General features: G+C 41.3%; 1 protein-coding gene across 11 annotated transcripts in view; it reads right to left on the bottom strand.

The window, feature by feature from the left end:
- TJP1 (tight junction protein 1) overlaps positions 1–16,240 on the bottom strand; it is a 269,683-nt gene that overhangs the window by 244,276 nt on the left and 9,167 nt on the right. For all 11 annotated transcript variants that reach the window (XM_005254620.4, XM_047432984.1, XM_005254619.4 and 8 more), the window contains exon 2: positions 12,590–12,722. In XM_005254620.4, the coding sequence (XP_005254677.2) occupies positions 12,590–12,722 (133 nt within the window). The remainder of the gene's footprint in view (positions 1–12,589; positions 12,723–16,240) is intronic.

Consider the following 16,240-nt stretch of genomic DNA (forward strand, 5'->3'; position numbering starts at 1 on the left):
AAAAAAAAAAAGGCAATATTTTCAGGCCAAGCATGGTGGCTTATGCCTGTAATCCTAGCACTTTGGGAGGCCAAGGTGGGCAGATCATCTGAGGTCAGGAGTTTGAGACCAGCCTGGCCAAAATGGTGAAACCCCGTCTCTACTAAAAATACAAAAATTACTGGGTATGGTGGCGCGCGCCTGTAGTCCTAGCTACTCAGGAGGCTGAGGGAGGAGAATTGCTTGAACCCAGCAGGCAGAGGTTGCAGTGAGCCAAGATTGTGCCACTGCACTCCAGCCTAGGTGACGGAGCGAGACTCCATCTAAAACAAAACACACACACAAAACTAAATAAGACTAAACAAAAATTTTCTACCTGTTAAGGTACTTAAAGGAAATATTTTGTATGTAAAAATTAAAAATCGTTAGAAAACAGGTACTTGACTTTAAATTTATTTATTTATTTATTTATTTATTTTATTTATTTTTGAGACAGAGTCTTGCTCAGTTGCCTAGGCTGGAGTGCAGTGGTGCAATCTTGGCTCACTGCAAGCTCCGCCTCCCGGGTTCATGCCACTCTCCTGCCTCTGCCTCCCGACTAGCTGGGATTACAGGCGCCCGCCACCACACCCGGCTAATTTTTTTTTGTATTTTTAGTAGAGACGGGGTTTCACCATGTTACCCAGGATGGTCTCGACCTCCTGACCTCGTGATCCACCCGCCTTGGCCTCCCAAAGTGCTGGGATTACAGGCGTGAGCCACCGCGCCCGGCCTTGACTTTTTAGTATCACAATTTTGACCTAGTGAATACTGTGACCAGCTTTTGTTGGTGGGGGGACGGGGACGGGGGCACCAAGGAATTTATGACCCTATGTTTATAAATACAGATATCTGAATTGGAATTACACCAACACTGGCAACATCTTATTGACAAAATATTTTAATTTCATAAAGCCAATATAATCCCTTGTTCAATTTTCTCTAAAGTACACGAAACAGCTAATTTTTTCCTTCTTCAACTGATCTTTTCCTGCAATTATTTTCACTGAGATAAGGCTTTTCTAAGTAAATTTTAAATCAATCGGATTTTACCTACTTCAAATATTTACCAATTATAGCTTCTGTCATTATGAATTCTCTCTACTGGCAACTGCTTTTTGTTTATTTTATAAAGTCCAATAACCTGGATCAAAGTCTGAAGATTTTAAATCTGTCATGAATATTTCATTCTTTTGTTGATCTGAATTCAAAAACAAATTTTACTGTATTAAATATCAGCAAATGTCAATTTTAATTTTACTTCTTCTGTCAGCTTTTCAACTGTATGAGGTTTGACTATGCCACTTAACCCAGTGTCTGTCTTGTTTTATGTTGACTATTTCTACCAGGAATTGTCATTATGAAATATTCTACAGGACTGGTCTACTTTAATAAAAATCCAACCCTCCCACATACTTGTACACTTGTGATCACTTGGGATCTCATACTAACCTTCCTCACTGGTGAGTAACTCCCCTCTGGTGTTTCAAGTATATGGTCACGGAGACAAGGGCCAGGTCAAAATGTCCCCAAGACCAAAAGGTCTAGGCCCTAACACTGGAGCCAAATGTTCAGTGCATGTGTAGACAACGTGTAGCACAAGTATGTGCCTAAGTAGGAATTATGTTAGCTAGGAGAATCTGGAAAAAGTAAGAACTTTTATTCTAAGAATCACCAGCTGATATTCTTTTCACTAATTTCCAAAGAGAAAGACATAGCCAAGTCAGTTGGTGAGATTTCAACAAGTACTTATCGAGAAGCTGAAACTGCCCTACAAACTTCATTACTTCAAACCATTCCATTTGAGATAAGAGCTCCTCTACTCTCTCTCACTAAAACCTCACTTGCCAAGAATTCCCCCAAAGCCACATGGAGGCCCATGGCAGCACGAAACCCAATGCCCAGGATACTGGGCACTGGTGGGCAGAGGAGGATCAGTGTGCTTGGGAGACTACTTACACTGAGCCAAGAGTAAGTTTGACAGCAACAAATGAAGGGATGAGGACAGGGAAAGCTAGGTTTCTCACTACTGGAACACAGAAAGGGAGGAAAGCTAGAAAGAACTATGAGGCAAGGAACGGAAATAGGAGTACCAGTGAGAACTTAAGGCTATTAAACACACACACACACACACACACACGCACACACACAGAAGGACACAGGTTACAGATGATAATGTATATGTGCTTGCATGTTCATTTATATTCACTGTATCTTTTCTGCTGTCTGCTGAGAGGGCCTGGAAGAAATGTACAGTACATCAAAGAAATAAGCACACTGAACCCCCTACATCACGGTTTCTAAATACTCCATCAAAGGGAACCAGAGCCTCCTTGAAGAAAAGGCTTATTCCAGGACTGGGGCAACAAAAGTATAAACTAAACCTGGAACACAATATGCAGAAAACAAGGAAGTGTTCAAAGATTGAAAGGGACATGTCACAACATCAGGAGAGCCAGGCTGAAGGAGCTCCCACTGTCTAAATCACAGGTCTCCACGAGTTGACACTGTTACAAAGAAATGAATGACAATGCAAATTAATAGACAAGAGAAAGCTTTTTACTACAGTGGAATGCCAACTAATAAATGCAGAATGAATGAAAGGAATATGAAATCACTATTTGGCAATCAGCATAGACGTGGCTGATTTGGGCAGGAGTCATCCGTGGAGGCCAGGGCTAGTGGATGAAAGTCTGATGAGAGACACTGGTGTAATCTTGAAACATCTCACCACAAAATACTAATGAATTACCAAGAGGACCACATGGTGAATTAAGTGTGAGAGAATCTGGCAGACGCAACATGCCCAGGCCAGCAAGGTTAACCTCAGGGCATGCGCCCTGATGCGAGGCTCTGAGAAGCACAGCATCATTTCCGTGGTATTTCTTCCCAGGATGCATGGCCTGAATCTGCTCATGAAGAAACACTCGATGGACCCAGGCTGAAAATTCTTTAAATTTGTCAAGGCCATGAAGGACAGGGAAAGGCCGATTTCTGTTTCCATTTTCAGTGCCCCTTTCATGGCCTAACTGCCAGCAAGGCCATTTATTCACTTAATCATATCTATTCATTCATTTGACAAATATTTATACTGAGCTGCACCAAACCCTTAACATTATGCCAGGTATTATAAAGCAATCTAATTTTATGGCACATAAGCTGTCAGAAATTGGGGAAGCAATATGAACACACAAATTCTAACATAAGGGATCCTGTAAGGTTGCACAGTAAAACAAGACTTCCTGAATGAGGGATAATTCGGGGAGCAATTTGTCCTAGATAGACAAGTTTTCATAAGTCTAACTAAAAATGCTACTGCAGGCACTAAATCTTTTTGTATTTTAACCATTTGGCTGCATTTTTTTGTTGTTCTAAAATATATTACTCACTTTCCTGCCTTCGTAAACTGAACACAATGTGGTCATTATTTTATGCAAATTTTAGTTGTATAAATCTAAATCATGCAACATAAAATATTAATAAAGTCTCACTTCATGAACACACCTGAAATTATGCAAATGTCCCAAATTAAAACTAAGCACCTAGAATTACATAATTTTAAACTGGCAGGCTGAGTGAATTAACCTGTGTGTCTATTACTGGTCCATGGCAAACCGATTTATCTGAAAACAGAAATAAGCCACCATACTTGTAGCTTATTGAGAGTCCTATGGGAAAAATAGTCTCAGAATCATAGGAATTTTGAATTATGCAGACACCTCAGATACGTATCTCTGAAAATGCCATGACAGCAACTATAATTTAACCTATTTATGAGTTGGCTTCTACTGTGGCATTAATTTTCTGGTCTGTGAGTTAAAGACTTGCTGGGAGGTCTGGCGGAGCAGACCCTGCTAGTTACCTACAAAGTACCCGTTTCCTCCTTCTTCCTTACTAGCAGAACCCATTTTCATCCCTAGGAGCCTGTGCCACCAAAACTCCCCATTTTCCACCCTCCCTTAGAACAGAAAATGGCAATGTGATGCAATTCTTGCCAAGGAGATGTAGAGAGATGTCCCTGGGGAGGGCATCTCCCCTGAAACTAAAGGGCAAAGCTTCACTAGGAGAAAGTTTTCTGACCCTTTACTCTGCCCCATTATTTTTGTTAGAAATACAGCATGTGAGGGCAGAGTCACAGCAGCCACCTAGAGACTGGACGAATGAGGGCTGAGGCCTATAAAACGAGGGCAGCCTGGAACAGTGCGGAAGGCTGGTCTCTGGGAACATCACAGCACAGCTGTGCCAACCCTGGGCTGCCTTCCCCCACACTCCTTGCTACAAGAGAAAAATGCTCCTGTTACTTTACTTTAAATGACAATCATTTGGGTGGGCACGGTGGCTCACACCTGTAATCCCAGCACTTTGGGAGGCCAAGGTGGGCGGATCACGAGGTCAAGAGATCAAGACCATCCTGGACAACATGGTAAAACCCCATCTCTACTAAAAAGACAAGAATTAGCTGGGCATGGTGGTGCCCGCCTGTAGTCCCAGTCACTCCTGCTGAGGCAGGAGAATCGCTTGAACCCAGCAGGCGGAGGTTGCAGTGAGGCGAGATCGTGCCATCACACTCCAGCCTGGCAACAGAGCAACACTCCATCACAAAAAAAAAAAAAAAAAGACAATCATTCAATCAACCAAAGGCACTGAGTGATATTTGAGGATTATTTATTTGCTCCTGTCCTAAACAGTCTTACCTTATTAATACCATGTCTTTTATCTTTTATATTCTTATGGCCATTATTTATGGAGTCTCAGACTTTTCCTTTGGTCAAAGAACCCAGCTAAGAAAATCAATACATGACATTCACCAGGCCAGAGCCTGGTCCAGCATAAGGTCCAGTGAGACAGAAATGAGAAGTAGGAAAGAGAACTTTAGGGGAAGTTTTCTATGCTTGAAAGAGAGCCACAGAAAGAGACACTGCCCCTGGCCTTTATCCTTGTGGACGTGAGGCCTGAACTGCTGCCCATGGCATGGCACAAGCCTACCGAGGAAGCCTACGCAGAGGAGGGGAGATGCAAAGTATCCCAGGAAAATGGAACCAGACCCACAGGATTCAATTAGCCCTGAAGAACATCCTACTGCAGAACTTCTAGTATATAACTTAATATCTTTATTATTTAGACCAGTTTGAGTTAGTGTTCTGTTATTTGCAAACAGGAACATTTCAACGACCTCAGAACGTGAAAGACTCAGCCCACTGTAAGAAGAGAAGAAGGCTCAATCACTCTCTACCTCCACATCTACTACTAATAACACCTCCACCACCACCTCCTCCTCTTCCAACTCCACCACCACCACCCCCTCCACCACCTCTACCATCACAACCTACTCCTTCACCACCACCTCCACCACTTCTACCCTCACAAACACCCACCACCATCACCTCCGCCACCTCCACCACCACCTCTACCACCACAACCTACTCCTTCACCACCACCTCCACCACTTCCACCTCTACAACCACCACCTCCACCTCCACCTTCACCACCTCCACTACTACCTCCACCACCACCACCTCCATCACCTCCACCACCAGCACCTCCACCACCACCACCTCCACTTTCACCACCACTACCTCCACCTTCACCACCACCTCCACCACCACCACCTCCATCACCTCCACCGCCATCACCTCCACCACCACCACCTCCACTTTCACCACCACTACCTCCACCACCTCCACCACCACCACCTCCACCACAACCATCTTCACCACTGCTACCTCCACCACCACCACCTCCACAACCACCACCTCTACCTCCACAACCACCACCTCCACCTCCACCTTCACCACCACTTCCACCACCACCACCTCCACAACCACCACCTCCACCTCCACAACCACCACCTCCACCTCCACCACCACCACCTCCACCACCACCACCTCCACAACCACCACCTCCACTTCCACAACCACCACCTCCACCTCCACAACCACCACCTCCACCTTCACCACCACCACCTCCACCTCCACCACCTCCACCACCACCACCTCCACCTCCACAACCACCACCTCCACCTTCACCACCACCTCCACCACCACCACCTCCATCACCTCCACCGCCATCACCTCCACCACCACCACCTCCACTTTCACCACCACTACCTCCACCACCTCCACCACCACCACCTCCACCACAACCATCTTCACCACTGCTACCTCCACCACCACCACCTCCACAACCACCACCTCCACAACCACCACCTCCACCTCCACAACCACCACCTCCACCTCCACAACCACCACCTCCACCTCCACCTTCACCACCACCACCACCTCCACAACCACCACCACCACCTCCACCACAACCATCTTCACCACCACCTCCACCACCACCACCTCCACAACCACCACCTCCACCTCCACCTTCACCACCACCTCCACCACCACCACCTCCACCACCACCACCTCCACCACCACCATCTTCACCACCACCTCCACCACCACCACCTCCACAACCACCACCTCCACCACCACCACAACCACCACCTCCACCACCACCACAACCACTACCTCCACCTCCACCACCACCACCACTTCCATCTCCACCTTTACCACCGCTACCTCCACCACCACCACCTCCTTCACTACCACCTCTATGACCACCACCTCCACTTCCACCTTCACCACCGCTACCTCCACCACCACCACCTCCTTCACCACCACTTCCTGTGCCACCACCACCACCTCCATTACCACTACTACCACCACCTCTACCTCCACCACCATAACCACCACCACTTCTACCACCATAAGTACACCATCATCACCACCACCTCCTCTTCCACCACCAACTCCACCTCCACCATGACCTCCACCTCCACCACTACCACTACTTCTACCACCATAACCACTCAATCATCACCGTGTGCCCAGAGCAGAGGAGCCCACGATGCTCCCTGCAGTTTCTTCCAGGCTCTCGTACTGGTGATGGGAGAACTGGTGATAAGAGTGGGAGTGAGAACGGGGGAAGGGGCCAGTCCCTTCCACAGAACTGGGAAGCCCAGAAGTGGTGTCCATGTCCCTCCATGGACTTTCTTTCTACCGTGTTCTCACCATTTCATGCCCAGCTCCCTTCTCACCAGCCAGGCGCCCATGGTGGAGAAAAACTTAGGATGTGTTTAAAGTCAAAAGGCAGTTTTGTGTCAAAACAGGTCCCTGAGGCCTCTCAGGGTCCCACCAGTCTCATAGTAGGAAGTCTCGAGGTTACATTCTGTAACCCCATATCCTTATCTGTAAAATGAGGCTGATGGTAATAGCTGTATCTATTTGACAAAGTTGTTATGAGGAGGAAATAGCTAATGTAATTAAAGTGCCTAGAACAGTGCGTGGCATTTAGTGAGTGCCACACATAGAATCATTTGTTAAATAAGTTAAATTGATCAATTACATGCATCAATTACATCAATTACATGAGGGGTTGAGGGAGGAGGAGAAATTTTTCATCTTCGATATCTTCACAGGGTTACAGATATTTCCTGTTAGTCTGCATGGATACTCTTTTTTTCTTTTCCTTTTTTTTTGAGATGGAGTCTTGCTCTGTCACCCAGGCTGGAGTGCAATGGCATGATTTCGGCTCACTGCAACCTCTGCCTCCTGGGTTCGAGTGATTCTTCTGCCTCAGCCTCCCAAGTAGCTGGGATTATAGGTGCCCGCTACCATGCCCAGCTAATTTTTGGATTTTTAGTAGAGACAGGGTTTTACCAGGTTGACCAGGCTGGTCTCGAACTCCTGACCTCAGAAGATCCACCCGCCTCGGCCTCCCAAAGTGCTGGGATTACAGGCATGAACCTCCGTGCCTGGCCAGATGCTTTTTTATATCAGGAGAAAGAAGTGTCTTTTCAAATCGAAAAAAAATCACTGCTATTAAAAAAACAAAACAATTATTCAAGGAGCAGTGACATGTGATTTATTAACCCAAAAATGTACTCAAATGTAACATTCCAAATAATATCTTCTCACATATTTCCCCCTCTAATGACAAAAACTCCTCTAAAGTTTTTGAAACATGTATCCCTTTTGCCTAATGATTATCAGTGATGACTGAATCCCCTGTCACTCAAGGTTAAGGGAACATCACCATAAACTGTTAATTGGATCATTGTTTCTATTCACTGCACAAAACTTTTTGTAGTATTTTTCTGTTGGCAGAGAGATAAGCAGCAATCTAGATTTACACCCACAAAGCAGGAAATAAACTGCCTAAGTTTATGTTCTAGAATACCTTCCTCCCAAACAGAATGAACTTCACCCAACTGGCTCCATTCCCCTATTTTAGGAAGGAGGTTTAATAAAAGAAGCTGCAAAATTTCAAGCAATTTGTTAAATTTTTAAATTATCACTTAAACTTCTTTGACTATACACTTAGAATCCAACACCAGAGTGAAATGGAACAGCTAGGAATGTAAACATCATTCACTAAATCTAAAGACAAAAGGTCACTTTTCTTTTTCATATTGATTGTTATATGTCTATCACCCCCAGGGGGAAAAAAAAGAACCTGCCATCTGGTTTATGTACCATTTTACTCATTACAACATTGAAGAAGGGCTCAGGTTTTCTAGGCAAAACACATACACAGAACAGAATTGTTGAGTCCAGGCTATGCCTAAGAGAATTTTACCAAGCATCTCTGGGACACTGCCTCAAGGAACCAGGGAGACTGGATGGATTCCAATCCCTGTCAGTAAACTAGGATGCCAATCAATTATCCTGCAGGGTTACAAAATGAACTAGAATGCCCATCCCATTTAATCCCCACAGAGAAAGCTGAAACAATCACTTCTCCCCAGGAGTGAAATGGCATCATTCTGATGATGCCCGGGACCAAAGCCAACAGGCTCAGCTGGAACCTGAGGCCTCTCAGCCAGAAACTGGGACCAGGAAACTACAGCAAGTGGATCTCTTGCTCCACTTGCTATGTTTTTCTAAAAGCAATAAAAGTTGTATTTTTCCTTAGACAAATTTGGAAAAATTAAAAGTAAAATATAAAAATAAAAATAGAAATATTATTCTGTTAGTTATACAAATTTGATATGTATATATGCCAGGAGATTATTAACTAAGTCTAAGCTTTCCTATTTCAAGGTTCTGTATTTACTTTGGCAGTCATAGGGAGTCATACATTTAATCAGAATTTTTAAATAAATTTGTAAAATAGTGTGTAAAGTTTTCAGAGTTGTTTGAACTGTAAGAACATTTACAAAGTGGTATCTATGGTGGCTAAGGTACTTCCTAAAGGAAATAAAGATTTCTATTCCTATGTAATTAGAAGTCATTACAGATCCTTTACCAAATACCTTCCCTTCAGACTTCTGTGGCTAAGGTTTTAAATTGGTTCTACATGATTATATTACAAAGTCAACTTCCTTAGAAAAACAATTCTGAATACCTTTCATCTTCTAAGAAACCCTTTTCGAATCCATGTTTTTTTCAAATGTGTAGCCCCCCTCTTCCTTCTTTCATAAAAGAAGACAGATTTTTTTTTTTTTTTTTTTGCAACGGAGTCTCGCTCTGTCGTCCAGACTGGAGTGCGGTGGCACCATCTTGGCTCACTGCAACCTCCACCTCCCGAGTTCAAGCCATTCTCCTGCCTCAGGCTCCCGAGTAGCTGTGATTACAGGCACCTGCCACCACGCCCAGCTAATTTTTGTCTTTTTAATAGAGACGGGGTTGTGCCATGTTGGCCAGGCTGGTCTCAAACTCCTGACCTCAGGTGATCCACCCACCTTGGCCTCCCAAAGTGCTGGGATTACAGACGTGAGCCACCATGCCTGGCCAAAAAGACAGAATTTTTAAAGTGTAGGGAAAAAAATGTTTTTAGCCCCATGCCAGAAATGCTATATGCCCCTACATATTTTGGGTATTACAGTATTAATTGCCATATCTTATGGTAGAAAGTGGGAGGAGCCAAGCTGTTAAGCTCTTCTTATTTATTTTTTTTATTGCTTGGAAAATCAGTTATTGCTTTTCTAAAAATGAAACATGCGCATTGTGAAAATTTCTAACAATCTAAAAACATGCAGAGTAAGATACAGGAAATGTAAATTGTTGCTCCACCACGCATGACCTCAAAAACCTGAGTAAGAAAATGAACACAAGTTGCAAAAAACTCAAATGAATTGCAGAAATTAGACTTCATTAATACATTCCCATTGCTGAGGAATGAAATGTCAGCATACCAAAGTCCATGGCTTTTCAATGCACTCTTCAGAAGTAGAAAACCAAAATTTAAAACAACATCGTCCATGAAGCCAAGGGAACCATTACACCAGAACATACAGCTCCTCCCTGGAATAAGCCTTCTGTGAACCTCAACTTTTCCTCTCTTTTAACATCAATGTTAAAATGCCTCCCTTCAGGGATACTAAGACATTTCACTTTTGAGACAGAGTCAAATAGAAAAACCATCAAAAAGAAAGAAATTAATTCTGCACCTGGGTAGCATTATTTTTTCCCTGCTTGGAGTGTGTACTAACTTCAACCAGATCAATTCTTTCATGAAATGAGGGAGAAAATAAACTCTCCATAATTTTAAAACATATTTATTATGATAAAAACATGGCTCTATTTGTCATTTCTATTTGTGGAAAACTGAAGGCCATCTTTTTCTCTGTAAAGCTTTTTGTCTGCTACATTCTAGAAACATTATAACCTCTCCACCAACCAGAATGATTCTGTTTATGCAAATAAATATATTTTATGACATGTAAAATTAATTAGTTATATGATTATGCTTCAGTAATGACAATGTTTTGCACAATAGAAAAAAAGCTGATAAAATTTAAATTTCCATTTTTATATTCCAACAAATAATTTAAATTTGTTTCTTGATTAATTCAATGTTTCACTTTTGAAAAGCAATTCACTTCATTTTGAAGTACATTTATATTTTCTTTAGTCACCTTAACTGTTAGTTCTACTCAGCAAGAATTTACTGTCTTTTTATTCTTTTTCTGTTCTTGGTTAAATGTCTTCTGGTAGGTCACATTTTACCTATTTATGTCTTGTGTCATAAAAGCATTCAAGAACATTTTAAGGTAAAATGCTTGAATAAAATTATTTTAGTAAAAATGTAAAAATACATGTAAAATAAATGTAAACAAATTAAAATAAATGTAAAAAAAATAGAGTATTGGCCGGGCACGGTGGCTCACGCCTGTAATCCCAGCAATTTAGGAGGCCGAGGCGGGTGGATCACAAGGTCAGTAGTTTGAGACCAGCCTGGCCAAGATGGTGAAACCCTGTCTCTACTAAAAATACAAAAAATTACCCAGGCGTGGTGGCGGGCGCCTGTAATCCCAGCTACTCAGGAGGCTGAGGCAGGAGAATTGCTTGAACCCGGGAAGCAGAGGTTGCAGTGAGCCGAGATCGTGCCACTGCACTCTAGCCTGGGCAACAGAGCAAGACTCCATCTCAGAAAAAAAAAAATAATAATAATAGAGTATTCACATTTACTGAGCTTTTATTTTCAGTAGTTATAGATAAGAGATGAAAAAGACAGAATTTAGTTTCATACTTTGATGTCATTTTTTGAAACAATGGCCGATGGTACCTTTATCATTCAAAATTTTTCAAAACTCAAAGGACAGAAATGAACATATCAGGTCTACCAAATAACCTAAACATTCATTAATTTGCCATTGAACCTTATGATACACCAATTGAAATAAAACCTTTTTACAGCAAAGAAAATTCTAGTATTTGCTTTATGGCATTACAGTATCTTTTTTATTCAAGTGGGGCCTGAAAGTGCCAGTGTTCCTCCAAAAACATGCATGAATTTACCACATTTCCATATGAGAAATAAGAACCTGTCACTTGGCCTTGAAAAAAATATGACCATTAATGTAATCACTTAGAATAAAAAGAAAGTGCCAGGAGTTCAAGACCAGCCAGGGCAACATAGTGAGACCCCATATCTACAAAATATTAAAAAACTAGCCAGGCATAGTGGCACACGCCTATAGTCCCAACTACTTGGGAGGCTGATGTGGGAGGATCACATGAGCCCAGGTGTTCAAGGCTGCAGTGAGCCATGATTGCACCACTGCACTCCAGTCAGGGCAACAGAAGGAGACCCTGGCTCTTTAAAAAAAAAAAAAAAAAAAAAAAAAAAAAAGAATAGAAAGAAAGCACCATCATTAACTGAATTGGGATCCGTACTAATAATATCAGAGTAATTATTGTCTGGCACTACCAGGAAGCTGGGTGTTTGGGGTTAATCAGACACTTAAGTCTCTACTTATATTAACATGTGGATTTGTGATTTTATAAGATATTCACATTAATACTCTATCGAACTTAAATCAATTTTTCTTGTAGAGGTCAGGAAGCATTTCTCTATCTTCATATTTGGATCAGAATCATCATTATGAACCATTTTACCAATGTTATCATATCCATGCTAGTTAAGAAAACATTCTGGTTGGTAAACTGTTGGGTGAACCATTTCTAAAATTAAAAAATGCCTGCCACAAAATAAGTCTGCTGCATTTTTATGAAAATAATAAAATAAAAACTTTCATACTCTTTGGAAAAATGAGAAAAGCATTGATCAGTCCACTTACAGTGAGCTCACAGAAATCCATGCTATCAAGGCTTTTGCTTCTGTGTAATCTCCCTTTAATTCGTCTTAAAGAGGGTTTTCCTTGGCTGACACTAGAAGTAGCACCATTAGGATTTTCAGAGGATGGCGTTACCCTGCAAGAAAGAAAAAAATTCTTAAAAAGGCAGGTTTACAGGTGAACACATTTCTCAAGTTTGAGGTAAGCATTTACTCAAAGGCAGCTTTGGAAATGTCACACTCCTTTTTCCAGCCAAAAAGCTAAGAACCACAGCAGAGCTACATTCTATCAGATACCCTTTCTAACTATTTCTTAGCTAGTTAAGACATCTTGACAGGATTCAAATAGTACAACATTAAGATTTATTAGACTGTGGGTGGTGGCTCACACCTTGTAATCTCAGTACTTTCAGTGGCCAAGGCAGGAGGATCACTTGAGCCCAGGGGTTCGAGCCCAGCCTGGGCAATACAGGGAGACCCTGCCTCTACATATACACACACGAATAAAAAAATTAGCCTGTCCTGGTGGTGCATGTCTGTGGTCCCAGCTGCTTGGAAGGCTGAGGTGGGAGGATTGCTTGAGCCTGGGAGGTCAAGGCTACAGTGAGCCACCACTGCACTCCAGCCTGAGAGATAAGAGTAAGACCCTGTCTCATTTATAAGGTTTTTTTTTAAAAAAAGATTCATTAAATATCAATTCTACAACTATTGAAGAAGCCATTAATATTAGACTGAAGTTTTCTAGGTAACTTAGGGGCATCTGCTTCCTTCTGGGCAGTTATTTATTCAACACTCAGTCCGGTGCCTAGCACACCCAGTACAAGTGAGCTATCATTGTGTCCATCACAGATACTGTTCAGCATGGTTTTGTTAAGCATGAAAATAACATAAATCTAAACATGATAGCACACACTTAATTCAGCATAATTATGGAAACATGAAAACACAGACAACAAGAAGTAGCAAATAGTATAAGCCATCTATAAAGTGCACACTGGAATACATGTTCATACATATACATACAGACACAGTAAATATCATAAAATAGACTAGATATGGCTACAGTTTAGAATAAAAGTAATACATCCATAGAGTTAAAACATTTGAAGGGTATAAAAAGATATAAAAATGGAAAGTAAAAGCTGCCCTTTTCTCCCTCATCCCAAACTCCCCTTTTCCAAAATCAACCACTATTAACAGTTGTTTGTATTGTATAATCTCCCAGACAAATGCTCATGCTTATATACAGATGTGTTTATTTCCTTTTCAATTTTTTTACCAAATTGTGTGTATTGTCCTGCACCTTACATTTTTCACTTAATATATCTTAACGTTCTTCCCATAATAATCCATACAGAACTATTTCACTCTTTTTAATGGCTAAATGGTATCCCATAACATAGATGTAATATAATTTGTTCAACTATTCCCCTACTAATGGGCATTTAGTTTGTTTTCCTATGTTTGTTACCAAACCATACAGCAATGAACATCCTTGGCAACATCTTTGGGTACAAATGCATTATTTAGTTAGGAAAGATTGCTCAAAGTAGAAAGGCAGAGTCAGAGATGGGAGTTTCCTACATGCTGATAGGTAATACCTTTCCAAAAAGCTTTACAAATTTACACTTCCATCAACAGTATATGAGAATACCCATTTGGGGGAGTCCTTAAATACAAGGGCAACTTTATCACTTTATTATTTTTATCACTCAACTTCTCCATGTCCTTCATTATATTTTTGTCTGTTGAACTGCTGATTCTGTATAAAGGACTATTGTAGGATTTCCCACCTTGAACATGGACTTGTCAATTAATCTATGTCTTTTAGTTTTTGCTTTTTATATTTCAATTGTTTTTTATTAGATGTCTTGATGTTTATGACACATATCTTCTTAGGGATTTAATCTTTTATCATATAAAAAGACTATGCCAATTAAATATTTTACCTTAAATGCCATTTTGTCTGATGATAATTTTCCCATCTACATTTTTATATTAACCATTTCCTGATTTATCTTGTGTTTGTATTTTCAAGTGTTCGAAGTCTCTCTCTCTTTTTAGTTTTTTTTTTTTTTAAGTTGTACCTTTAACTCTGGATAAGTAGCATGTAGCTGGATTTTTTTCTTTCTTTACCCAATCTGAGGGTTAATGTCTTTTAAGAGAAACTTAATCCATTCAAATTTATTGTTTTTACTCATATGTTTAGATCTATTCCTGCCATCTTGTTTTGTGTTTAATGCTTTCTTCTTAAGTTTCTGCCTTATTAATATGATTGAGTTTACTTTGTCCTCAACCACCCTAAGACCTTTTTCCCTTTCCATTCAGTAGTTTGAAAGTTATACATCTTATTAGGGAAACTCTAACTCTAGTTAGCTATATACACACATGTACATTAACATCTTTATATATGTATCCATCACACACGTATATGTACACACACACACACATAAACTCATATTTTCCTATCAACACCTAGGGCTCATGAGTATGCTCACCTCCTCCTAAACAAGAAGTGGCATTAGCACGTCTTCATTCCCCCTCTTTCCCAGCAACTCCACATCCCTACAAAAAGCCCCACCTTCCCTTAGAAATAGTGTTCAGGTTTCCTGGCTTCTTGTTCATACTTTTGATCTCTTTGCTCTTTTGTGATTCTTTAACTTACTTCTCCAGATTGCAAACTTGCTTTTTTAGTTTTGTGAATTCAGCCATTGTCTTTTCTATGAATCAGTAAATTCTAAATTTCTAAAGTAGCTAGTTTTTTTTTTTTGTTTTTTTTTGAGTCGGAGTCTCGCTGTGCCTCCCAGGCTGGAGTGCAGCGGCGCGATCTCACCTCACTGCAAGCTCCGTCTCCTGGGTTCACGCCATTCTCCTGCCTCAGCCTCCCGGGCAGCTGGGACTACAGGCGCTCATCACCACACCTGACTAATTTTCTGTATTTTTAGTAGAGACGGGGTTTCACCATGTTAGCCAGGATGGTCTCCATCTCCTGACCTCGTGATCTGCCCACCATCAGCCTTCCAAAGTGCTGGGATTACAGGTGTGAGCTACCACGCCTGGCCTGTATCTAGTATTTTTTTAATTAATGCAATATTCTCATGCATCTTTCCAAAAATAACCTTTTTTTCTTCTGAAAATCACCATCTAATGTTTTTCTATTTTCTCAGGAGTTAGTTCTGTGTTTTAATTTGGTAATTCTCTGGGTACTGGCTTTCTTGAATTGTTTGGTGATTTTTAATGTCTACTTACATTTGTATTGGAAAACATCCATTTCCCCACTGCGACTACTGTGGCCTGCCTTCAGGAACTCTGGCAGAGAGATGGGATACGCTGCCAGGTCTGTGAGGCAGCTTCTCTTGCAAGTCAGTAGCTACCTCTAGGACAGCCCTGCCTCTCTGACCCCAGTGCTCCGGACAACTGTAACGTTTTCTCTCAACAGATCTATCCCTACCTACTAGTTACATTTCAAAGAGTCCTCAAAATTACGGGTCCACTGATGACATTCTTTATTGTTTACTCAGATTATTATTAATTTTGTCGTAGCTTTAAAAATTAATTTTCTTCTTTCATTGAATTTCTAGGGCGTCTTCCTTTCAATTGGCCTCCCAAAGTAAAATTTTACTGATGCCACTTTCATGATTCTTAGGATAAAAAG

Source organism: Homo sapiens, chromosome 15 (genome assembly GCF_000001405.40).
Source record: "Homo sapiens chromosome 15, GRCh38.p14 Primary Assembly".
In the NCBI taxonomy this organism is placed as follows: Eukaryota; Metazoa; Chordata; class Mammalia; order Primates; family Hominidae; genus Homo; species Homo sapiens.